The sequence below is a fragment of the Homo sapiens genome, chromosome 2 (assembly GCF_000001405.40).
Source record: "Homo sapiens chromosome 2, GRCh38.p14 Primary Assembly".
Classification (NCBI taxonomy): Eukaryota; Metazoa; Chordata; class Mammalia; order Primates; family Hominidae; genus Homo; species Homo sapiens.
Window position 1 is genome coordinate 162,761,189 of NC_000002.12, and position 25,974 is coordinate 162,787,162.

The window sequence follows — 25,974 nt, forward strand, 5'->3', positions numbered from 1 at the left end:
TTGATTAGAAAGCTACTCAAGCAAGCTTAAGTGAGGGAGTTCTACTGTAGGCATTGAATAGATTTTTCTGATATCTATGGTGAGTATCTATTGCTTGGTTGGCTTAGCAACATTTCCACCTTTTCCTCTGGAAATATCTTTCTTCTTCTGACTTCAAGCTTGGAGTTTCAACGTCCCTGTGTCCTTACAACCCGAACATATGATGAGATTATCAGAGGCTTTCTCAAGTTGTTCAAGTTGTTTTCAAACTGTAACTAAAGAAAGAGGGTTTCTGTCTGGTGACAGCACTAAGAAAAAATGTTCCCCAAAGTCAAAATATCTGATTCGATTACAGCAACAACATTCACATTTATTAAGTTCAGACATTCTACTAAGCACTTTGAACATTTAACAGCAACTCTATCATTATACACCACATATTACAGGTAAGGAAACTGTAGGTTAGAGTCGATGTCCAAGTCTTAGTGCAACTAAGTCATAGTGCTCTTATCTAAGTCAGGCAGTCTAATTTTAATCTGGCAATGTTTACCTATCACTTTCTAACAGTGGAAAGAAATCTGCCTGAGTGTGAGGTGCATCATACAAAGAGAAGCACAGATGAGGGATTCGATAAGAGTGGATGGTGGTATTTGAGTCTATAGATCCAGCTGCTTCTCAGCTGTGCCAGAACCTCTCCCCTTCCTAGAGTTTGACTGTTAAACATTCCTTTAATTCTGATATTTCCTATTCTCCTAATAAGTCTCAACTTTTTTCTCCCTTAATGTAATTTGAGTTGAGTTGCTGAATCTCCAAAGAAGGGAAAGATAGTAAAGGTGAGTCCCTCAAGAATGGGCAGAGGAATTGAGAAGCCAACATTCAGCGTTGCTCTCTTTGCCTCTCAAGAATACAAAGGCTCCCTTTCTTTCTGCTTCCCTCTCTTTTCTTTAGATCTTATCTTTCTCTCCACTGCTTTTCTCCAACTACTCATTTTATTTTCCCTGACTAGAGATCTCCTTTCCTTTTTCATGGCTTTTTTGTTTGTTTGTTTTTTTTCTACACAATGTACAATTTATTTCAAAGGGATCAAGAAATAACATATATATGTATATATACATATGTGTGTGTGTGTATATATATATACATATAGGCTTTTGTTATAACATCTTGTCAGCAAATAACTTGAGCTAATGAAAGATCTTGTTGGAAGGAAAGAGAGACTAACACTGGGACAGGGAGGGTGAATGAAGGAGATGTGGAGAGAAGAATTATGCTTTTGGGAGCAGTGGGAAGAAAGACTATGGATTTTAGATCCATTCTGATACAATTACCAGATGTGAAATTGATAAAGACCACCCTATGGCACAAACTTTAGCTGGTGACTGGGGGTGTTCCTCTCAACACTAGCAGCATTGTACACTTCACTCATTTAGAACTCAGTCTATATGTCTCAGGTGTTTGTGTTTTGAAAGTCTGAGCTCCTTAATGGGAGAATCTGAAGAATGTTTGGAAGAGCCATAAAAATTGGATTTTAGTCATAGTGTCAGTATATGCCTCATATTCATTTTTATATGATAGTTATAATAACTCCTGTCTGCCCACCTTATAAAATTGTCATGAGACATAAAGTTATATAAATAATGTAAATATGCTTAGGAAACTGTAAAGGTATAGGTAAACATGGGAGGTATGAGTCTTAATCTGTGTTTTATCTAGAATAAGCAATCAATATATTCTATGAAATTAAGGAACAATTATTTAAGCAGTTCTTTAAAATTGAAGAGGAAGAACCTTCAGCCAGTAAAATAACACATTCATCATGTCATCTTGAAAGTATTTTATAATACAATGGATAGAACAGAGATAATGAGATCCATCACTGCTACTATGATTCTCTCTTCTAATTTTTGTCCACTTTTCTATAAGAATTTCAGGAATCATGCCCTAAGATTCCATCCAACTGACTAATTTCTTGAAATTTCTATAACTTTGTCTCAACTGTACAAATTTAGTTTCATAAATGAATGTATGCTCCTTTAAGACAGGAGCCATGATTCATTAAGCACCATTCTGAGTACTCAGTAAACACTACAAATATTATTGAAACATTTTTAAAATCATTCAATTGATGAGTTTTGAACCCAAAAGCCCTGTATCTATATCCATTTTTATCAGTTATTACTATGCCATTTGCTTTCCACTTAACGATATACCAAGTAGATATAGTTTGTTAATTGCAAATAGCACCCACACACAGTTGACTTTCACTATCTGAAACTGCCAATTACTCACTGCAAGTTACACAGTGTGCTTCTTTCTAGTTTCTGTCACCATGCTGATACTTAAAAGGATCCGTAAAGTTCCAAAATTGTTAGAAAATACGATGGCCAGAGCTTGATGCATCCATAGAGAGTAAACATTCAACCAAATTGCAGGGAGAGAAATGGGGTATAGGAATTGTGTTAAGAGAAATGAATGACCAGGGGAAGTTAGAGGGCTAGTAATGCTGTCTTAGTTGGGTGGAATACCTAGTAGAAAATTAATCTGGAAGGAAGGCATTTGCAGTGTGTGTGTGTGTGTGTGTGTGTGTGTGTGTGTGTGTGTGTGTTTTGCTTTTGTTTTTTTTTACTACTTATGCTTATTGGTTCTTTCATTTGCTGCCTACTATGTGTCAACTACTATAGTAGTCTCCGGAGATTAAAAAATTTAGCTATTTTGCCTTTGTGTAAACAATGTGACAAATACCATAACAAATTGATGTGAGGAATTTAATAAAGATGCTACAGGAGTCTATGTGTGTGAAATGTGTGTTTGTGAGGGTTTTTTTTCCTCTGTCCTAAGGAAAGATTTTACATCAGTAGGCAATGTTTATAAAGTTCCTCTTTAGTATTTCTTTCTTTCCAAATATTTGGCTTTTCTCTTGCTATTTCACGTAAAAATAGGTAAATATTTCCCAATAGTATATTACTGCAACTGTACGATTCCTTAAGGTTTCATGGAAAACTCATGTCAGAGTACTGCAAATCAGGAAGTAGAAAATGAACAGTCAGTATGATGTCTCTGAAAGTTTCATTTTATAAAAGAGAAATAGCAGCAGCTACAAGAAGCCATCATGCTTTGATTTTATGGCTAGCATGATCATAAAAATTCAAAGCACAATGTGGTCATATTTTATATATGTATTAAGAAGGAAATCATTTCCAAGGAGATATGCCTTCTCTCCATGTAGCCTCCTTCATAATATTTTATAGACAGTATAATTTCCCAATTATCTAAATATTGTTAAAGATGGTCAAATCTAGTGTAATCTAGCAAGTTGTTCTAGGTCATTATTAGAAACTACTAGAAATGCAAAATGATACATAAATCCTCTTTAAAATGTATAGAATAGACTTATTTTTCCAGTAGAATTATGTCCAAGCATAAATAATCACTCTCTTTACAGATTACTGCAAGTACAAAAGCCAGATCGAAACTGACAGGGAATAAACAATGTAAGCTTAGATACAGATGCCTTAAAAAATCAATTCATGAGTTATTTTTAAAAAGCTAAAGACATTTGTAAAAATGTCCAATGTAAACATAAATATCTTTAAGCAGATGCAGTTTCAACTTTAAATTTATTTTCCCAAATTCATGATATTTTAGTATGTTATGAAGCATCATACATACATTTACTCTAGCCAAAATAAATTTACTTTAAATAGGCAAAGAGAGCTCAGCCAACATATTTTGGTTAGCCAACATAATTTTTTAAAGCTGTTATATTTTTAAATTGTTAGACATATATAGCCATATAAACATCAGAGCTATAAAACCAAATTTAAAAAATATTAAAATGTCACAATGCTGACATGAATATCTACACTGACTTTATTGTATTGGATATAACCAGGAGAAGGGTAAGGAAGGAGGAAAAAGAATACAAGAAGGCACAAAACAGAAGATCAAGCTGCTACTAACACCAACATTCAACATAAACCTACTCTTCAGGGAACAAGGTGGAAGAAAAAGAAAGCCTGATTGCAGGGTGCAGAAAAAGGAAAATGAAATGAAGATGTTAATTTCAAAACTCCACTAATAGATGATACTTTATTGAATCCTGGTATGTGTACAAGTCCAAAAATGCATACACATATATCTTCTTGCCTAAATATTAAATATAACCATCAGCTTACTTCTGACATTGTGTTTAAGAATGAGAACCCTGATTGACAAGGATGAGTGTTCACACTTTGAATCTCGCTCTCTGCAACAACTCTTCTCGATGGGTTTCAATTCTTTCAATTCTGTGGGGCTTCTAATATAGGTAGGTCCTTTGCTGTGTGCTGGAAGGTTTTCTTCATAGGGACTAGAGGTGCATATGTCTTACTTTGTTGACACCACACTGTTCTCCTAACAAGCAGTGTTTGTAAAAGATAACAAAAAATGTTTATTGAATTTAATAGAGGGGGTGATAACGACAAATTTAAGTGGTCATATTACTGTCTTTCATGGAGCTGGCTCAATACATAGTGAAGAATGAATATGATCAAAATACAATAAATGAATGAATTTTACTTCACCTTGATGACAAAATTCTGAATATTTTTCTTTTCTTTTTTCTTTTTGAAATAGGGTCTCACTCTTTTACCCGGGCTGCTGCAGTGCAGTGGTACAATCATAGCTCACAGCAGCCTTGTGCTCTTGGGCTCAAATGATCCTCCGGCCTCAGCCTCCCAAGTGTCGGGGACCATGCCCCACCAAGCCAGTTAATTTTTACATAATTTATTTTTAGACATGGGGTCTCACTATGTTGCCCAGGCTGGTCTCAAACCCCTAGCCTAAAGCCATCCTCCTGCCTCAGCTTCCTCAGTAGCTGGGATTGCAGAACTTTTTTTTTTCTTTTATAACAAATGCTCTGCTATTCATACTTATTTTCTCCCTTCCTCCATTTTAACTACTAAAAACTACTAAAAAGCATTTAATGTTTTTGCTTTCCTGTATACTTCATTTTCTTTTTAAATGTGTGTGTGTGTTTTGTGTGTGTGTGTGTCAAAGGAAGGAAGGCTTGAAATTACCCGTGCCCCTTATTGATCAGGAAAGTTCAATTTCAGCACTAGTCAGCGTTGCTCACATTTGGCACATGCGCCTTGACGTGAAACAACAGGTTAAGCAAAAGCAAACAAAACAAAAATCCAACTACAAGAAAGGGCTTGTGAATTTGTGAAAGACCTAGTTATCAGTGAAAAGAAGGTCTAAAACATGGCAATAGAGTCCCTTTTGTTAACATTTCAAGTCTGTCTAGCACCCCTTTGTTGTCACAATAATTTCTGACAAGTCTAAATTCCAGAAGTGATCAGAAGATCAAGGAGTTCCTCAACAACAAAACAAAACAAAAAAAGCTTGATTAGTGGAGAACTGTTTGTTTGATTCCTATTTATTTTAGTCGTCGTTTTTCTTTACATCTATGCTATTGTCTTCCAGTTTTCTGCCAAACATTTGAGCAGCAGAGATTAGAAAGCAATCATTTTCAGACCATTTTACGTCCAGGGATTTTCATATGGGCAATATCTTAAAAATTCAACATACACAAAAGTTATAAAATGAAGTCTCTTTCCCAGCTGTAATGCAGAAACTGAGCTACTTCTCCAGAGAAGATTTGATGCTTCTAGTGAATCTGTGCTCTGTGTGTCCTTCCAAAGATGTTCTAAGCACATTACACACACACACACACACACACACACACACACACACACACATAAACACACATCATTTTTATTTCTACACAAAGAGTAGAATGCTCTGTACATTGTTCTTTTCTGGCTTTAAAAAAATTTAACAATTTATCTTTGAGATTATTCCATATAAGTTTATAAAGAGTTTATGAAGAGCATCCTTTCTCTCTGTCTCAATCTCTCACTCATAATGGCAGCATATTTTCCCATAATATGAATGTAAAATAATTTATTTAACCCATATCATATTCATGGGCATAAATGGTATTTCTAATATTTTGCTGCAATGAATAACCATGTACATACTCTTGTCATTCCTAGTATGTTTAATTGTACATGTAGGACACCTTTCTAGAAGTGAATTTACTCAGTTAAAGAGTATGGCACATTTAAAAAAATAAAAAAATAAGCAGTATATACATTTGAAAATTTTAAAGTTATATCGGAATTTCCCTTCATAGAAATTTTACCAATTTACATTTCCACAAACAATAAATGAAAGCTTGGTCCTCACATCCTTATCAACACCAAATATAATCACACATATTTTTCCTGAACTTGAGAGGTGGAAAGAGGTTTTTCAGTGCTCTCATCATCTTTCTCCCATAGTTTTACTGCTATTGGAGTTTCATTGTTTATATTTAACTCATCTATTTGGAATTAATTATGATGTAAATTTTAAAGTATACATCCGTTTTTTCCCCCAGATTCTGCTAAAATGGTACCCACATCATTAATAATTAACTCACCTTTTCCCCACAGATACAGAAGGCTGTTTTTATTATATACTATAACTGCATAAATAAGTGGGCCGTTTTCTCAGTTTTATCATATCCCACTGACCTGTATATTCATGGGTGAATACTTCATAGTCTTTTTAATGAAAGTATTAAAACACTTTTAATAACCAATAGGACAATTACCCATGTCTTAGTTTTTAATTCAGGATTTTAAATTAATATGAACAAATTTTACCAGGGTTAGCCCCAGTTAGAAAGCATCATTCAAGTTATTGTTGAATCACAAGGCTATTTATAAAGTCCTATGCTGTAAATTGAAAAACTCAAATAGTATCCTACAACATTTTAATCTGCCTGTGATGCTTTTGAAATTAAACAATTTCATCACAAGCAAAGAAAATATTTAAGAGAAATATGAAATAAATTGATTTGTGTTAGCAAGATAGTCAGCCATGTTTTGGGTTAGCAGAGTAGTTAGTAGATAGTATCTACAACAAAATATGTCCCACGTTTTAAATTACTGACTTAAAACAAATTTAAGTTCCTAAATGATTGACTTAAAGACTAATTTGGCAGTACAAGCAATTAGTAAATTGAAGGCTGACTATCAAAGGACATAAAAAAGTAAGTGAAAGATGTTATTGATTAATCAAAACACAACTTTGGAGAAAGGCCTCAAATTGTAATCGTTTTGGACAGATTTTCTGAAGCTGGGTTTTTTTTTATAAATTGTGCCTTTATGTTTTACCACATGGAGGGAAAAAACCCAACAGCATCGATCATCTAGCATCATCCATTTACCTCTGAAGTCAAAAGTGCCCTATCTTCCATCCAATTCAACACCAACTCTGGAATCAGCAAAATCCACAGACTTAATTAAGCAATGCCACATTTGGATCATGAACATGGATATAGGATAGAGAAAAACTGACAACGGAGAGGTAAAAGAGATATCATTACTTCATCAAGTCATGAATGAGAGAGGCCAGTAGGATTTTTTTAAAGGAGGATGAAGGAAGGTTTGGGAAACAAGGAACAAAGAGCTTCATAAGTGTTGTCAGGTTCTGCAGCCTTTTCATAGGATTTAGCCAGGAGCAAGTCTTCCAGCTCTTGGAAAGTGTGAATGCAGGCTGTAGTGTTTACTCTGGTTCCCCATGTCGAATCGCCAAGTATCATTTCTGTCCAAGGGCAGTCTGTGCTGGCGCAGGAAAGGAAAGGAAGGAGGGGTGAAGAGGAGAGGTTGGCTAGTGTTAAAGGGAGAGCTTTTCCACAGGGTTCTATGGTTGCTATAGTAACAGCTTCTTTTGTTTGTACATATTCAGAACAGCTGCTTCTTTTTGGTTGCTGGTGGCAGGGATATTATGGAGGTAACAGAGGCAAAGAAGCACCACTCTGACATGGAAAATAATTTCCGTTGTCAGATTATTCTTGTTTAACTTGGTTTAACTTTATAGTAGGGTTAAATGTGGCATTTGAAGGTTGGTGAGTAACAACATCTTTTAAAACATGGTGAATTCCAACAAGAAAAGACCAAGGTATTCTGTGATCTACAAAGTATCTTGTGCTAGCTTGAACAACAGACCTCCGCTCTCTTGCGGCCTTAAAACTGGAAACGCTCCAGTTTATTTCTACCTGATATGCACACAAATTGTATTGCAAGCTCCCTAGAAGGTATTTTTCTCAACAGGAGGAAAAAATACCTCTTCAAAATGCCCACTTATCCCTGTATACCTTTCCAAATACTAATTAATTCCTCTAATTAGAGCTTTTTTTGGCTGCAACCATTTACAAAGTTGAGTTGCTGCATACAAACAAATTTAATGAATATTCATAAACTAATAATATTCACTGAATTTACAGTCCTCTTGCCCACATACTGCTATTGCAACCGGCTTATAACAGCCTTCTATAGACTATACTAAGGAAAGGCCATCTCCAAGGAAAAGGTAGAGAAAAATACAGTTTTATTTTAAGGAACAGACCACCTACCAACTGAATTGTATATACTATAGCTTATGTATATACATATTCTATATATAGTTTATATATATTATGCATACATATATATGTTAGGTTATAAAATACATGCATATGTGCACATATATGCATATGTATATATATAAATGACATGGAATAAAATAGAAACTCAAGGGGTTAAAAGTTTTGAAGCAAAACATTAAAAACGGCATCTGCAGGTTGAACAGTCAAATTTTGTAAACACACAAACTTAGGATGCAAATAAGCAAATCAGAAGGCACAGCTGTCCTTATAAACAAATTAATCTTGAACATAGGTGTATAATCATGTTTTTAACCCTTTGGGATTTTTAGAATGGTACAATACAAAAGCAAAGTGATGCTCTTGATTTAAAATTTAAATTAATTCACCATTTGTCCAACTAGGAGCTTTTAAACTTTAAATTTTTAGTAACATTAATGAAACAATTGGCTGGTTTAATTTGGAAACTGCAGCTATTCACAGATGCTACATCGTAAGACTGAGTACATGGGAATTTGATTACATATTTGCCTGATAATTCTCACATCAATCCACTCATCCCTTTACTTTATAAAATCTGAATGAACTTATTTTGATGATTCAAAATTTGAAGGAATTTAGAGAACAGTAGAGATGTTTAAATTATTTAATTAAAATATAGAGTTCCTGAACATTACTCTTGGATATAATATATATACATATTTACATATATATATATACATTCATATATATACATATTTTCTTTAATATTTCAAATACAAAGCTTTTATATTTATACTTATTTCAGTTAACTATAAACTATTAAAGATGAGATTTACAGTCTAAAGCCAAGCACAAGTGTTCCAATATCTCTGCTTTCAGATTGTACGCTTTGGGTCAAACGTCTAACCTCTTTGAGCATCCGTTTCATAAACTGTAAAACAATGATACTAACGTCTTTGAGATAACGGCTTTGAGAAATCAATTAAGATGGCAGAAATTCATCCTGAAACTGTGACTATTATATGATTCGGATAGAATAATACACATTATGAGAAAGTAATGTTTTGTTTTTCATCTCATGAATCTTTATTTATTTTCACCTTTTCTCTTCCTCTTATGTTCTTGTGTATTATCAATATGTTGAAGACATCTATATTTCTAAATATACTCTTGAATTTTCTTCCAGGCTCCAGACTTGAATTTCCCAAATATTTGCAACTAACGTCCCACTAGTTATCTCAATTGCACTGGACCCAGATCTGAACAATTCATCACATCTTCCTAAAAAATTTCTCCTCACTGTCATACTTTTGGTAAAGGCATTACCTTTCTTCTAGTTTCTATGGTCTGGTCCAAAAATCTTAGACTTGCCTTTTCTTCCTATCCAGGTGATGGTTATGTTTTATGCCTCTACAACTTGGTACAATCTCATGGATTTGAGCTCTCATTTTCATTCTCATTCACCTCTGGTTGAGATAATCATGAATTCTTGCTTAGACTATTGTAGTGTCTACAGATCTCCAATTTCCCCAACATTCTGCAGACCATTTCCATTTTCTGAAGCACATTACTGGCTCCTTGAAATATGTTATGGTTTCCGGCTTCTAAATGCAAAACTAAAACTTCTTAGCTTGACTCTCAGGGAACTTCATGATCAAAATCCACTCTACATGTTATTGTTATTTTCATTGCTCTTATGAAATGAAATTTCTCATGATTCCATAATATTATTCATGTATTTGCAACTTGGCTTTTGTGAGTCTATATTTACTCTGTTTCCCTCCTTTGTGTAGGTTTCCTCTATCCCAACTTCTAGATGTCAAATATCACTTTAGCCATGAAACTTTCCTCAGTTTCCTCCCTCCATGTTAAGGTACACCTGGTTGCCCCTTTCTCTGAAGTTTACATTTGGATTTGCATCATTCTTATTTGTATACATTTTTATTGCCTCTACTAGATTTTTTGGTATGTTATTTATTTAATTTAGAATTACTATAACAGCTATTATAATAAACTTTAATATGAAAAGTATTCCAAATGAATAAAATTTCTACAAATTTAAACAATTTACATGTGACTGCCTATAACTTTTTGATCTATTAATAGTCTCAGAGTGAAAGTTGGATTTTTTTCCTAGCCTTTTATCTGATCTCGTATTTTTATATCTTTAGACTATCTCCATTTGAAAGCTTTATAAATAGCTTTAAATTATTGTTATAATACTATGTAGTTCACAAATAAAATTATTGCCAGAGTACACCTAATGGATAGTATTTGCTCTTAAAAAGAAATGTGCGTGAAAGAACACAATCCCTTTCTCTTTCTCAAGGCAACAGACGCATGAGAGTGAGGTATTTATCTGAGGGCGATTGAAGTCACCAGCTTAACAGGTAAGCCTACAGGCTAAGGCAGAAAAGTATAAAGATAAGAAGAACCTAGATCCATCATGCCATAGTTGATCTGTTGAATTACCACTGCTGAATCTGTTCTACCTCCAAACATTTTGTTATATAAGATGATGAATCTCATGTTGTATAACCCTCTTGTAGTTAGATTTTCTGTTATCCTAGGCCAAAAATATCATAAAGAATGGCACAGACATTTAGAGAAATGAGTTGAGGACAGACCATGAGGTCCCAGGGAGAGAGAAAGAGATAAAGAGAGTAATGTAGACTTTTTAATTTTTTATGAGGTAAGCTATACTTTTTTATTTTTGATTACTCATTAAGGAATTTTCCTGTACCCTCTAAAATGTATCCCTATTTATTTGTATTAGTAAACAGTTTTCAGGTTCTTGTATCCAAATGATCTCTAAAAAAGACAACATATATTATCACATTCAATCCCCATGACAATAACTCTGTAAGTTAAACATTTCTTTTTGCTCCAATTAATTCAGTATTGTACATTTTCTCCTGTTGGAGTATTTATTGAATCTCTTCCTTTTTCTCCCTTTTTCCATTGGCCACAAGTATTAAAGTCAAGTGACCACCAGATCAGCCAGCTCAGATATATTTGGAAACACATCAATCTATTTTAAACTTAAGATACTGAAAGCCCCATTTGAACACACAGAATCAATAGTGGAAGCCAATTAGGAATACAGTTCAAGTAAATATAACTAGCTTTTACATCTCTAGCATTTTGCTCCCTCTTTCTTTCTCCCACTTCAACAAATTCAATGCATTAAACATTCATTTAATGTGTACCAATGTGAATATGATATCATCCCTGTGTTTGAGAATCTTATACAGCGGAGGAAATAGACATATATAACTCAGAGAAGAAAAACAAAAAGGTCTAGTTTCCACTTTTTCCGTAAAAAGGAAAAATCCTACACATGGCTAACCTAATCGCTCTCCTTGAAGCTTTGCACCCATCTTTTCCCAAGTACCCAATTGTTGCAAAGTTTCACCTCAAATGATAAGTTCACCTCAATCATGACAGTGATCTTTAAACATATTTTGTAGAACGGTAGTTGTTTAATTTTTATACCATGTCAGAATTCTTCCTAGAGCAAAACATGGCTGTATTTCCTTAAACAAGATAATTTGTAACTGTCAAATGATAGACATAATCTGTCCTCCAATATCAAAGGAATAGAGGCCGGGCATAGTAGTTCATGCCTGTAATCTCAGCACTTTGGGAGGCCGAGGCAGGCTGATAACTTGAGGCCAAGAGTTCGAGACCAGCCTGGCCAATATGGTGAAACCCTGTCTCTACTAAAAATACAAAAATTAGCTGGGCATGGTGGCATGCACCTGCAGTCCTAACTACTTGGGAGGCTGAGGCATGAGAATCGCTCGAACCCAGGAGGTGGAGGTTGCAGTGAGCCGAGATCACGCCGCTGCACTCCAGCCTCCTCGGCAACAGAGTGAGACTGTCTAAAAAAACAAAACACAGAAAACTTATGTCTTGCCAACTTGAAATAAATGTGTCAGCAAATGACAACGAAAGAAGAGCAAATAAAAATAGTGTTAACTTATGACTCACAAAATGAAACAAAAAGCACATCAAGAAACAAAAACAAAAACCTACAAAAGCAAAAACAAAAGAAAAAAAGTGTAAAACTCAACATTTTTAAAACCTATGAAATAGCCTGTCATTTTGTAGCTGGCATCAAACTTTAGCTTATCATAAGCAGTGTTATCAAAAAACAGTACTTAGGATAAACCTTTTCTGAGGAAGATCAGTATTTCATAAATGTTTACAACCTTATTATTATCCATTGTTTAAAATAAAAATAAAATGATATGATAAACGGGATTGTCTTTCTCTTAAAATTACAAACACAAAAAATATTTTTATCACTGCTTTCACCAATTGTGACAATTTATTTTCAACACTCATACTTAGTATTTTATGATTTTTTTTCTGGTAATAAAATCATTGTTTGTTAAAGAAAATAATTTGAGGTGCTATTTTAATTGAACTTCAGAGCTCCAGTGTCATGGATTAGTGATTTCTTTTTTGGGAGAGTAAGTTCAAGGGATATACCATGAAATACAAATCTATGAAAATTCATATAAAGCCTTTCAGATCAGGAAAAGAAACTTTCTACACTTATGTCAATGTCCTTATTATAAATTATTATTTAAAATATATTCTTAGGTCTATTTTCACTTTAAGCTTATTTTAAACTTGAGTCATTTAAACTTGTATTATTTAAACATTTTATTTTCTTTACCTCATTGATTTTATTACTTGCTTTTATAATGATTAGCAAAACATGGGTCAGAAGTGGAGAGATCTTATATCCTCAACAGGGAAGGGAGAGAAAGAAGGAATTGGATAGAAACATTCATTTCTGTGTTGCTTATGCAAAGAATTTCATTCTGGGAGTGGGATTATCAGAATGGTAGTATTTGATTGTATTTTACAACTCTTATCCTGTGTGGAGGGTGGGTAACTGTAGGTTTCTTCTAACTTAGAGCCATAAGATTTTGGGCCAAATGTACCAAGAGCAAGTCTGTTCCCAAGATGAACTGGCATGTGGATGCTCTGGGCTTGTGTGTGGTAAGAAGTCATCAGTAAATATATTTCTTTAACTATAAATTCAGTGGAAGAATATTGCCCTCAAAACAAACTTTTTATCACAGAAAATTCTGAATATCAAAATTTATAAAAAAGAAAACTAGTGTATAATTCTACCCCACTGAAATAATGATTATAAATATTTTGGTGTCTTTCGAGTCTCCTTTGTTTACGAATGTGTATGCATCCACACTTGTTTCCTGGAATAATTTTATAGGCATCACTTCAAGGGCAATTAATAATGATATTAATTTTCTATAGACACTTTAATAGTAGCACAATATTTTATATGTACAATCTGTAACTTAATATTCTCTCATGGATCATTTAAATTACAAGATGTTAATTTGTATAAATAAAACAGTGATGAGCAGCATTGTACACAAATTTATGTGACCCTTGAAATAATTTTTTTGAATATAATTTTTGAAAGAGGAGTGAATGAACATTCGAAAGCTCTTAATACATATAACCATATTGTTTGCTAGAAATACACTACTCTCCTACTGCATGCCTTCTCTATATCAGGGAATATTATCTTTTCAAAAAAATGAACTAGTTTAGTAAAAAAAAATTATCTGATTGTGTTAGTCTGTGTTTCTTTAACAGTGAGTCTAGTTTTAATTTGAACTATATTGTACTTTTCATTTCATTATCTTTGTATTATACATAATGTATTTGAATTTTAGAAATTACACTGCCATTGTGACTTGTTCTTTGTTGCACAAAATACTTTCCTCTTATTGTCTACCATGCTTCTCTTTCTACTCACATGTTACCCTTTGAGGAGGCATTGATGAGTTGTGGTTTGGGGCTACGGAATAGAAATTGAGTGTAAATGATGCTTTTAAAAGAGTAGCCATCACATTTAAAAGTCAAATGGATATGGATAAAATGAATAATCAAAGTAAAAAACTGATTATAAAAGGAAAGAATGTAGAGCTATATAACCAGAGAATGCAAAGAAAAGGAAAAAAACTAATAGATTTTTAGGACCAAGATGATTATACTTTTTAGGCATTCATTTGCATTGTGTACCAGAAAACTCTTTGACCTCCTTGATGTCCATTAAGTTGCTGCTATACAATTTCATTTTCTTGTTTTTAATAATAACTACTACAAAATGCTAAAATATCCATAGTGGCATAAGTGAATATAGACTTGCTCTATACTGTGTAGAATAAAGTGCATGTTGAGAGTGGATTCAGCATACAGATCAACAGTGTGGATGCCAGTTTTAAAGTACCTAGGCACATGCCTTGGCTCTGCTCTTTACTAGCTATGTAAACTTGGGCAAGTTATTTAAGCAATCTATGCCTGGTTTTCTCATAGGAATATTGTGAGGATTACAGAGTGAATACATGGACTGTGCATGAAACAACATCTGGCTCATAAGCAGTCCACACATATTGGCTGTCAATTATTAGTAAAGCTAGTAAAGTATGAAAAGAGTACACATTTACAAAAATAAGCTACGAATATACCGTTCTCTCATTTATTTAGCAGGTATTTATCAAGTACATACTACATTCCACATCCATTGTGTGGTGCTAGGAATATAAATGATCCCTTCCTAGTGAACCTTCTCTACCTACATGTAGCCTCTGGATGGGAGGCTTCATGTAAGTATTACATGTACACAACCCCATGTGCTCATCTTCAAGTCGAGGGAGGCCAATCATTGGCCAATACAAACGATCTGGGCCAAATCAGTTTCTCTCTGTTAAGTGTAGTTAAAATAGTGCAAGACTGAATTGGTTATCTTTTGGGTGTTCAGCTGAAAAGACATATTGATTTGAAGACTGTATTTTGGGCCAAATATAAGTCAAAAAATAGTGGTAGAGACAGACAAAAAGAGAGGAGAAAGATGCATTGGAGAAAGGAAGGGAAGGGAGAGGACAAGAGAAAGAAAGAGAAGGAGAGAAAGGAGAAAGAGGAGCTATTAAGGAGATGCATTGGGAGAGGGAAGAGAGGAAAGAGCTTCAGATCATGTAGTCTCTAAAAGAGACAGTAGCTCAGTCTAGGACTTTATGATTCCTAATTTCCCTTCCAGGGGACCTGACTGTACTGCATTCCATAATCTTAAAAGGCAATGGGATTTTCTCTCATATCTTTATAATATCTGCTCTTCTCCCACTCATTTTTACCTGAGATATTAGGTATATTTCTGCTTCTCATTCCCCATGGAGCTTTAACTGGAGTAATGTAGAGAAGATGAACATGAAGTAACTTTCTGGCTTGGGTAGAGATTGGTCATGAGACCAGTGTTCTTAGACTATAAGAAGTTTCATATATAAGCCCTCTAACAACTTTTAGTTCTTCTTCACTCTTTCCCTGTTCTCAATTCTTTGTTACTAGAGTTGGTACTTGGAGTTCAGTGCCCATTCACCATCTTTGACTAGTACATAAAGGCTGTGATTTAACATCAATAGAAACTCTGAGAGAAGTGTTCCAAAATTCCTAAAGGGTTTCCTGGAATCCCTAGGATTATTCTGCTGTTTGACAAGTACCACCAGTATAGTACAGACATAACTCGGTATCCATGGAAGATTGGTTCCAGGAACCCCCACAGATAACCAAAATCCAAGCATACTCAAGTTCTTTATTAAATGACAAAATATTTACACATGACCTAGGCATATCCTGCTGTTTACTTCACATCATCTCTACATTACTTATAATACTGAATACAATGTAAATGCCATATCAATAATTGTTATATGGTATTGCTTAGGGAATGATGACAAGAGCAAAAGTCTGTACATGTTTAGTACAGACACATTCTTTTTATTGTCAATATTTTTGATCTGCAGTTGGTTGAATCCATGGATGCAGAACCCACTGATACAGAGTGCTGACTGTACTTTCTACTTATGGTAGTAAAAGTGTAAGAGTAAATATTGAAGTTGAGGAGACGAATATATGTTGAGCATCTCCTATATAAGCCAAGCACTATGCTAAGTGCTTTACATATACTCACTGTATTACAGTATCTCATTTTATTCTCCTAACAACCTTGTGAGGTTTTAATCATCCTCATTATACAAAGAAGAAAACAGAAAGACCCAGCAAAGTGAAGCACTTACCAACAGCCTTATGGCAAGTAACAGGGCCAAGATTTCAATCAAGGTTAAAATACATGACTCTGACTATGCCATAAGAAAGAGAATACTATGTATTTTATTTGGTCCCTTGTGTGAAACAAGGCAAACTATTGATATAAATTGAACTAACAGTAATTGCATTATCACATTGAATGTAATAAGTTGAAGCAGATTTTATATAATTTATAAGACTGGTTATTATCATTTGTTTTTTTAAAAAGGCTAACTTTGTCCAATATGGTGACACTTTTTGGCATGCGTGTGGTAAATGAATGATTCTCCAAATAATAGCAATTCAATAAAATTTAAGTTCCTATCTTGAATACAAAGATGGGAAAAACAGAGATCCTTCTTTCTAAAAAAATGAGGCTTTGTAGAAAAAATTGTCTAAAGAGCCATAAATCAAAGGAAAATGGGAATTTCTCTTTATTGGAAGTCAATTTATTTTCTAGAACTAATCTCAGTGCTCTATATATACATTTTTTCATTTCATCTTTGTTACAATGAAGTTGATATTATATTATTTATCTGATAAAGAAATTGATATGTCAGTCTCTTAAGGTTAAGGATTTTTACCTGTTTTATTCATTTCTGTTTGTCCACCATCTTAAATTGTAGTAGGCAGATGGGAGAGTCTCCATAAATATATTTTGAATAAATGGAGAATTAGAGAAGCTCATTAAACTGTCAAGTAATGCAATCTATAAACAGCGTCTTGGGTTACCAGACAAGTCTAAATTCAAATCCTTTATCTTCTCATTACTCTACACTGTGAGGGGCAGAACTATGTATATTTTTCCTGATCTTATTATCAGTGCCTGCACAGAACCTGGCACACGGTAGATAAGCATTGAATGTTCTTGAATAAATAATCTCACAAGGTTCTTCACTATATGCAATAAATATCAAAAGTATATTTTATCATGTGATTTTAATACTTTTTACAATTATTAAATCACACAAAAAGAGATGATAGAGAATAAATGGGTGTGATTCACATTTACCTCATTATGAAACTGATATTTTAGATATTTTCATTTTAAACTAATGTACATACTATCAGACATCACTGCATAGCATGATATTCTGAAATAGAACTGACCTGTGTCTACTTACAGTAAATTTATTCATTGAGTTATACGCATTTACTACTTGGCCAATTATTGACCCATTGAGTCTACACCCTTTAGTGGAGAGGAACAAATTCTTTTTTTTTTTTTTTGTCTTTCTGAGGGGTTCATCTGCCTAGGTCATTCAAACGCAATTTTAGTGAAATCCAAAAAAAACTTTATTGTAATTTTAATTACTTATCAACTGTTATAATATTCAGTTTAATTTGTTTTGTTTTGTTGGCAAAAATTATGGCAAAAAGTATTTTTTCCAAAAGTTGTAGGAGAGCTTTCACCTTAAGAAAAACGACAGCATTTAAGCCAGTCTTAATTTTTTTTGTTTTTTTTGTTTGTTTGTTTGTTTGTTTTTGAGACAGAGTCTTGCTCTGTTGCCCAGGCTGGAGTACAGTGGCGTAATCTCGGCTCACTGCAACCTCCACCTCCCAGGTTCAAGTGATTCTCTCACCTCAGCCTCCTGAGTAGTTGGGACTACAGGCATGTGCCACCAAGCCCAGCTAATTTTTGTATTTTTAGTAGAGACGGGGTTTCACCATGTTGGCCAGGATGGTCTCGATCTCTTGACCTCATGATCCACCTGCCTCAGCCTCCCAAAGTGCTGGAATTACAGGCGTGAGCCACCATGTCCAGCCCTTAAAAATTTATATACATCTTTTTATACGCGTGCACACAATATTATACTCTTTCCTATCCTGTAAGAGCTAAGTTGTTATATGTACTTCTTGTTATAACTTCTGAATAGTTGCTCACACACTTCTTTCCACTTTTTAATCCAAATGCCATTTCATTTTTATCCCCCTTTTGGTACCCCACTTATAACAGCATCCAAACTGTCTTGGGTTGATAACGTCACCTGGTGGTAGTACACTGTCTGAGCCAACCACGCTCCCTCATGGTCTCTTCCCTCTCAGAATAATTTTGCTCAACTCCGTGTCATTGTACATAACCACTGGACACAGTAATTATCTCACTTTAATTAATCTCTCTCTTGCATGTGTTCAGACATCCTTTTAAATCCTCTTACTTTTCCCCCTCTCAATTGCCTCCACTTCCTCAAGGTACATGTGTGTTTTCTCCCTTAGTCTGCTGCAATTGAGTTTTAACAAAAACTTTCTAATGCATGATCAATTGGTATAGCAAGAATGTTAGTGGTGCAAATGGATTCAAGGAGGTGGAAAATACAAAGTTAAATCATTTGCTTATGAATTATGAATTTGATAAAGAAGAACAAAATTCTTCTTGTCTCTCTTCCTTGTTGCCAGAAAAGTAATTCCCTTCCTTAAAGGTAAAAATAGTCAGTAGTAATCCACAGACACAGGCATAAAGATGTTATTTTCCTCCACAAAAAAACTGTAGCCTATTACTCAAAGCTTTCTGCATCTCCTTTCATTTCCTCGATGATATATCTTAGTGATGTTTTCAGGTAAGTACACAAAAGTATATCTCATTCTTTTTTAAGGGCTGCATTGTATTTTACTGCATGATTGTGTCATTTATGCAACACATTCTCTACTGAAGCATTTGTAGGGATTTTTTCCTAATCATTTACTACCACTACAAAAAGTGATGCACTGAATAACAGCGTGCCAGCCAGTGCTAGGGTAGTTGTACAATCAATATCTAGAAACAGAATCCTTGAGTTCTAAGGGTAGGGGCAGAAAATATTATTAAAGATAACAACCCAGTGCCCTACGTTTTGTGACAATGTCCAAACACAACTTTTAGACTCTGCAAAATCGTTTTTATTTACCCTCTTATATTTTCCTAATTGAACTAATTTTTTCTCAAGCATGGAGACACACAGCCCCCATGTCTAACCTTATGTAAAGTTAGTTACGTGTAAAATGTGTTAGAGTTCCAAACAATCGACTCAACAACTTTTAGGATAGAATGTACTTATAAGTATGAGATTTCTTGCAGTAGACATTATTTTGACTGGTTTCTAAACAAAAATTACTCAATTCGAAAAGTATACTGTTTAGAGTATGATTTGATCCCTTTTAAGGTTGGAACAGCTGTCACATAAAAAGACTGTAATAAACTGGTAAAATGATATAACGTTAAATTGCCATCATTGTTTAATTTAAGAGATAATTCACTAGAGATTATATCCTATTGTATATATCCAAATATGGCCATTTACATATCCAATCTATATTGTATAGAATCAGAATTTTATAGCTGAAATGGAGATTAAAGATACTCTATTTTAATTTTTAATTATATTTCTGAGGAAACTGAGAACCAGAGGTTTGAAGTATTATATACCAAGTGTATATTCACACTTATAAATAATGATATTGATAATAACATGAATTCAGTTTGCATTTTGTCTTCAGCATTGTGCTAAATGTTTTGTATGTATTAGCTCATCTCATCCCCATAAAAGCCTCATTTGATAGCATCTATTATTATTAATTTTTTTTTTAGTTTAACAGATGAAACTAAGAGAAATAAAAAAAAATTCACAATGTCAGGCTGCAGTAAGCAATAAGGCCAGAGACTGAATTCTTCAGGTTGTTTATTAACATTCATTTACATGTTTATTAAATCCCTATGTTTATTAACCAAATCCCTATGTTTATTGGCTTTCAACTTTATTTATGCATATTCTGATAATCTAAGAGAATGAAAACAAATACACCTAGTGGAAGAGAATGAGGAAGGTAAAAATTAGATTGAAAGTTGAAAAAAAATGAAAGTAGTAACAGGGGAGACAGCAGTGATGTGGTAAGTAAGTAAAGGTGTTTTTGGATTTCATTACATATATTATACTTTTTTGAGCATGGGGTCCTTAAAGATTAGTGTCTACATATTGACATGTAAGAAATTAGCAAATAAATCTAGATACTTGGTTTTAAACTGTCTTTCCCTCAAGTCACTAAGCTCAATCCTTAATGTTTCAGGGGGTCAGTTAGAAAATGATTAATTCAAGACTTCAAGCAGAGAACACATTGCTTAAAATGTCTGAGAAAATTTGCTTTAGTGACTGACTATTTCAATACCCTGCACAAAAGAAATTATGAAGCTGGATAAATTCAATGAATATTTCTTCACATTGCAGGTCTCCTCACTGGTGAGATGAAAATCACGATGAAAAACTGACTGGAATTTAGGTTTTTCTAGTGTTATTAATTTTGAAATATGGCATTTAAAATTAGACCTTGCATTCATGACACAAAACCCATGCATAATTCTTATAAATAGATCAAATGATTTTGTAACTCTATTTTATTAAATACATTCAACACATACTTGTAACATTGCTACTGGCTTTTGTCCACCCTCATATGCCATACATGGCAGTAAACAAAACAGATGAAATTCTCTCTGCTTACTGAACTTATGTCCTAGTATGCGAGAAAAGATAGCACACAAAATACATATGTAATATATTGTTCATAGATAATGAAAAGGACAATGGAAAAAAATAAAACAGGAAGGGTGAAGAGGAAGTAAGGGGCACAGTTTTAAATAAAATTGTCATGAAAGGCTTTTCTGAGAAGTCGACATTTGAAGAAAGACCAGAAAAAGGTGATGGAATGAGTCATGTGGCTATTTTGGAGAAAGGCATTCCAGGAACAGCAAGTGCACAGGCACTACAGCAGAGCATGTCTGACATTTTCAAGGAACAATGAGAAGGCCAGTGTGGCTGGAGCTGAGGGAAGGAGAGAGAAAAGTTTGGGAGACAAGACCAGAGACCAAATAAAGAGTCCAACCTTCAAACTTCGTGGGTCATTGTAAGAACTTTGGCTTTAATAATGAGGATAGAAACAGAGCCACCAGAGAGATTTAATGAAGAAGAGAAAACATCTGAGTATCAAGAAAAGCAATGATTCTGAGCATGTTTCTGTTGCACTATTCTGAAAATAAAGTTAAATAGCTTCAAAGGGACGCTGAAGCATCCTCACCAAGGCCATCCATGGAACAGGCATCAATAGCCTGTAGGATGGAGCACTGTATATCTGGTTAAGCTGGAAATCATGTTTCTCGAAATCTCCTCCCCTTCAAATTATTATAAGTTGACAATAAGAGCAGCATATGTGAGATTGGGGAGGTGAAAGTGGAGTAGTTGAGTAGCAATTAGTCTCTGAGGGTCATCACAGTCAGATGCTGTGATGGACAGATGCAGAGACACCTGGTGGGTCCTAGCCTGTCCTAACTCTTCACTATGCATCCAGCATCTTTCTGTTATCCAACAGTGGCTAGGCCCACCACAAAGTCCTTCACTGTGGAGCCACAAAGGTAATAACATATCAGAAGCAACAGTTTCCTACAGACATCTCTACAAGCTTTCCTTGGCAGACCCATCTGGTAGCTGGATCTGCTTGGTTTCTTAGACTGCTTTTCTGACAATCCAACTATGATAATAGTTGGGCTTCATTTTCATGTCCCCTTCCACAGTTGTGTAAGATATAATTGTGATAATAAATTCCTTATCCCATGACACTCATTAGTGACTCCCCCTGCTTGGACCTGCCTGAAATAGTGCATTTGCAGAAAAACATCCATTTGCTTCAACATTTGATAAACTTGGAAAATATTGGCAAGCCTGGAAAATTGGAAAACAAACTTACATCCTTTGTAGGACATGTTTGGCTCAGGCCAACAATGTTTTGAGATGTTTTCAGGAAGGCTTTTCTGTAGCAGACGGAATGTGGTTTTATAGCTTGATCCAAGGTTTAAGAATAACATTTAATCCCAACTTCTGCTTCCGAATGCTGTCAATTTGGAAAATGAGAGCAGATGTTGACAAAGATATATTTGCTAGTCTGATGCCTCAGCAAACACTCGCTGAAGGAAAGACAATGTGAGACTAGACTGATTAAATATTCTCTCTTAAATTTATTTTGCCAATCCTTTTAGCAGTATCCTCTAGAGACAACATCTCTAAGATGATGAATACAAAAAGATGTCATTAAAACTCAACATAGTTTCCATCTTTAATACCTGAGCTTCGAACATAAGAAACCTATATTAAAGAGAATATTTCTGGATGTTTCCATTTGAAATGTAAAAAAATGTCTGCTTATTCTCTGGTGATTCCTGACTTCAAGATTTCTCCTTTATAAATGTATTGAGTCCACTCTAGTTGCAGTTCAAAGAGCTAATTACTAGATGTCTGAATAAAATATATGTTGATATCCTTTAAAAAAACAAGTTTCAGGAATTCTCATGACTTTCATTTATGCAGAACTCCCATTTAGTCTGAATTTATATATTTTTTATAATATAGTATTTGGATTTTGTAAAATACAGACTGCCTGTAGAAGAGCAGTGGAAGTCTTCAGCAAACTAAAAATGAAAAAAAAATATGCTACTTAATACTATTGTTTCAAAATCAGCAATGATTTATTGAGCTGATGTATGTTCAACATTCCCTATCACATTGTTTTATTTAATCTTCATGACCATCCTGTGGGCTGCTTTTATATAACATGGAGGCTCCAATGGGTTAAATAATTTGACCACTTCCTCAGAGACAGTAGCTGGCTGATTTACAGTGTGGACCCTGGCATATTGACCACTACTGTTCCTTCCTTCAACCTCTGTCATGTTAGGTATAGAAATAATAATATTGACCCCAATATTTTATTATTTAATCCTTACCAGAGATGTATTAATTCACCTATAACTAACTATATAGTCATTGATATGAGCACTGAAGAATTAACTTCGTGTTAAGTGGTTTTATGTTAAATTTTCTTTTTTTTCCCTAATTTCATCAAGTAGTGGAAAGACCTTAAGCCAGAGAACTCCAGGTTCAAGAACCACCACCTGCAAACTTGGCAAATTTGGACAAATGTCTCTCTGAGTTTCATTGTCTTCATCCACAAATAAAGCAAGATTACTTCGCCTACAGAATTGCGGTAAGGATCAAATGGAGTAAGATATTACATGAGTGTTAGATTCCCTTCCTTTCCTAAAGATCTTAGAAGGTAGCACTACTTTGGATACACTATTGTTTTGGAAAATTTCAGCAAATATTTAATGGTAAAAGGAATCTTTGACAAAATTATCCCATACTAGCCACAATAATATTTTAGAAACATTTAATTTATGATAGAGTTAATTCTACACTAGCAGGGGTTGTAATGCTTTTTAACTCCTGGTTAACCTCCACAGAAATTATGACCAGACCATGAGGGTATGAAGGATGAGGAAAAGGGAGCAGTCATGGAGCTGTTTTGGAGGGAGTCATAATTCCTTAGACCTCTGACAACTGGAACTCTCAATCTGCCAGTGAAAGCTGACATGAGCCCAATAAGGATGGTCTTTTCTATTCAAAGATAGGTCCGTACTATTTCCAATTTAGTTTTAAGAATCAACTTAAAATGTTGTTAACTATACATATATTTCACTTTTGAAAGAAAATATTAGCTTGTCATCAAACAGGATAAACCAAGAGACATCAGTCTTTTTGACTGATATGAATCACATTTAGCTAAATACACCAGTTAGCAATATCTGTCCTTAAGATTGACAGTCTTAAATATAACAGTTTAATAAAGCTCTTACTTTTCTATTTGTTTCTTTCTATTCTATCATTATAGTTCTTGCTAAGTATTAGTGTTACTATATCATGACCACTTAATATTTTACATCGGAAGTTTTACAACATTTCACTGACTTTACTTTTTTATAATAATTTGCGACTATTGGGCTGTCTTGATTTTCTTCACTGTATTTTTTTTTTGCAGTCACTCAAATCTAACTTGCTTTAAATATTCAAATGAGTGAATTAAAAAGGAAGGCTTTCTGTGTTTTGGATTTTATTTTCTCCTGTTTTGCACTATTACTCCATATCAGGCTGCCTGTGGAATAGTTTTTTGTTTTTTGTTTTTTGTTTGTTTGCAGTTGGGGTGCATTTTTGTTTTGTTTTTGTTGTTGTTGCTTGTTGGCTGTTTTGACTGTGTGGTTTTTAGGGGCAACTTTTTCAGGCAAGAGTCTATGACCAGTGCTACTTAGCATCTCCTGAGAATGGACACTGAATTGTAACTGTACCACTCTTATTAGACAATTAATTTTTCAAATTATTTAATAAACTCTCCCTTTCAATGGTTTGACAAACTTGAGTTAAAACTAGTAGTATGGGCTGGGCGCGGTGGCTCATGCCTGTAATCCCAGTACTTTGGGAGGCCAAGCTGGGCAGATCACAAGGTTAGCAGTTCAAGACCAGCCTGACCAACATTGTGAAACCCCATCTCTAATAAAAATGCAAAAAAATCACCTGAGCATGGTGGTGTGTGCCTGTAATCCCAGCTACTCAGGGGGCTGAGGCAGGGGAATTGCTTGAACCAGGGAGGTGGAAGCTGCAGTGAGCCGAGATCACACCAGTGCACTCCAGCCTGGGCAATAGAGTGAGAATCCGTCTCAAAAAAAAAAAAAAAAAAAAAGCTAGTAGTATGAGCCAACATTCTTGGAACACTTACTGTGTGCCAGCTACTGTTTCATGAGCTTGACCTATGTCAACCCCTCCTTACTTAAACTCCATTATGTAGCTACAATTACCCCTATCCTACAGATAAGAGAACATGCACAGAGGTAAGCCAATTGTCCAAAGCCACACAATAAGCAAGTCACCAAGCCAGATATTGGACCCTGGGAATGCGACTTTTTGAGCTTGTACTTCTATTATAAACCAAACAAATTTTAAAATGCATATGATTTTTATAGATTCTGTTTAAATAAATGTTGGTGTAATATCTTTGAAAATGTTTCAAAAAGTTTCAATGTATTTAAAGCAAAGTATTTTAAAATTATGTCTTCAATTAAAAAAAATTCTAAATGTAAGCTGCTGTCTAACACAAGCATGCTTAAATTTACTGAACATGACCTATGTTGATTTGGGGAGGTATCCAGATGTTCAGTATTTTAAGCTGCATGATTTAAAAATAAATAAATAAGAAGAGGGGTATCATCAGCAACATGGTGGAATAGGAGTTTCCCTTCACAAAAATATCCATTTGAACAACCATCCGCACCAGAAAATACCTTACCATGCTCTAAGGAATGCAGGTGAAAGATTACAGCACTTGAGCGAAGCACGAGAATAAGAAAAGATGCACAGCAGATGGTAAGGAGGACAGTTTTATATTACCTGCATCAACCTTCCCCGAAAACCATGCAGCACAACATGGAGAATGATACCTTTAGCATGTGGGGAGAAGAATGGATCGAGCAATGAGTTCATAGTGAACCCCAGTATCAGGCCTTCTCCAGTTAACCCTGGTGCCAGGCTAGGCCCTGCAGACCCAAGCAGTAGGCCTGCCCTAGTTTCAAGCTGGCCTGGGCA

At 34.5% G+C, this 25,974-nt stretch overlaps 1 protein-coding gene and 1 long non-coding RNA gene across 8 annotated transcripts in view, besides 1 other annotated feature; one reads left to right on the forward strand and one right to left on the reverse strand.

The window, feature by feature from the left end:
- KCNH7 (potassium voltage-gated channel subfamily H member 7) overlaps positions 1 to 25,974 on the reverse strand; it is a 467,361-nt gene that overhangs the window by 389,782 nt on the left and 51,605 nt on the right. The window lies entirely within an intron of this gene.
- Positions 7,451 to 7,745: a silencer, noted in NCBI's record as "tiled region #9339; HepG2 Repressive non-DNase unmatched - State 24:Quies". NCBI's record gives its function as "represses a minimal TATA promoter and a strong SV40 promoter by Sharpr-MPRA in HepG2 cells {active_cell/tissue: HepG2}" and the evidence as "EXISTENCE:reporter gene assay evidence [ECO:0000049][PMID:27701403]".
- KCNH7-AS1 (KCNH7 antisense RNA 1) overlaps positions 7,748 to 25,974 on the forward strand; it is a 29,037-nt gene continuing 10,810 nt past the window's right edge. The window contains exons 1-4 of the long non-coding RNA NR_110258.2: positions 7,748 to 7,800; positions 10,743 to 10,803; positions 23,409 to 23,548; positions 23,805 to 23,972. This is a non-coding gene — a long non-coding RNA (KCNH7 antisense RNA 1). The remainder of the gene's footprint in view (positions 7,801 to 10,742; positions 10,804 to 23,408; positions 23,549 to 23,804; positions 23,973 to 25,974) is intronic.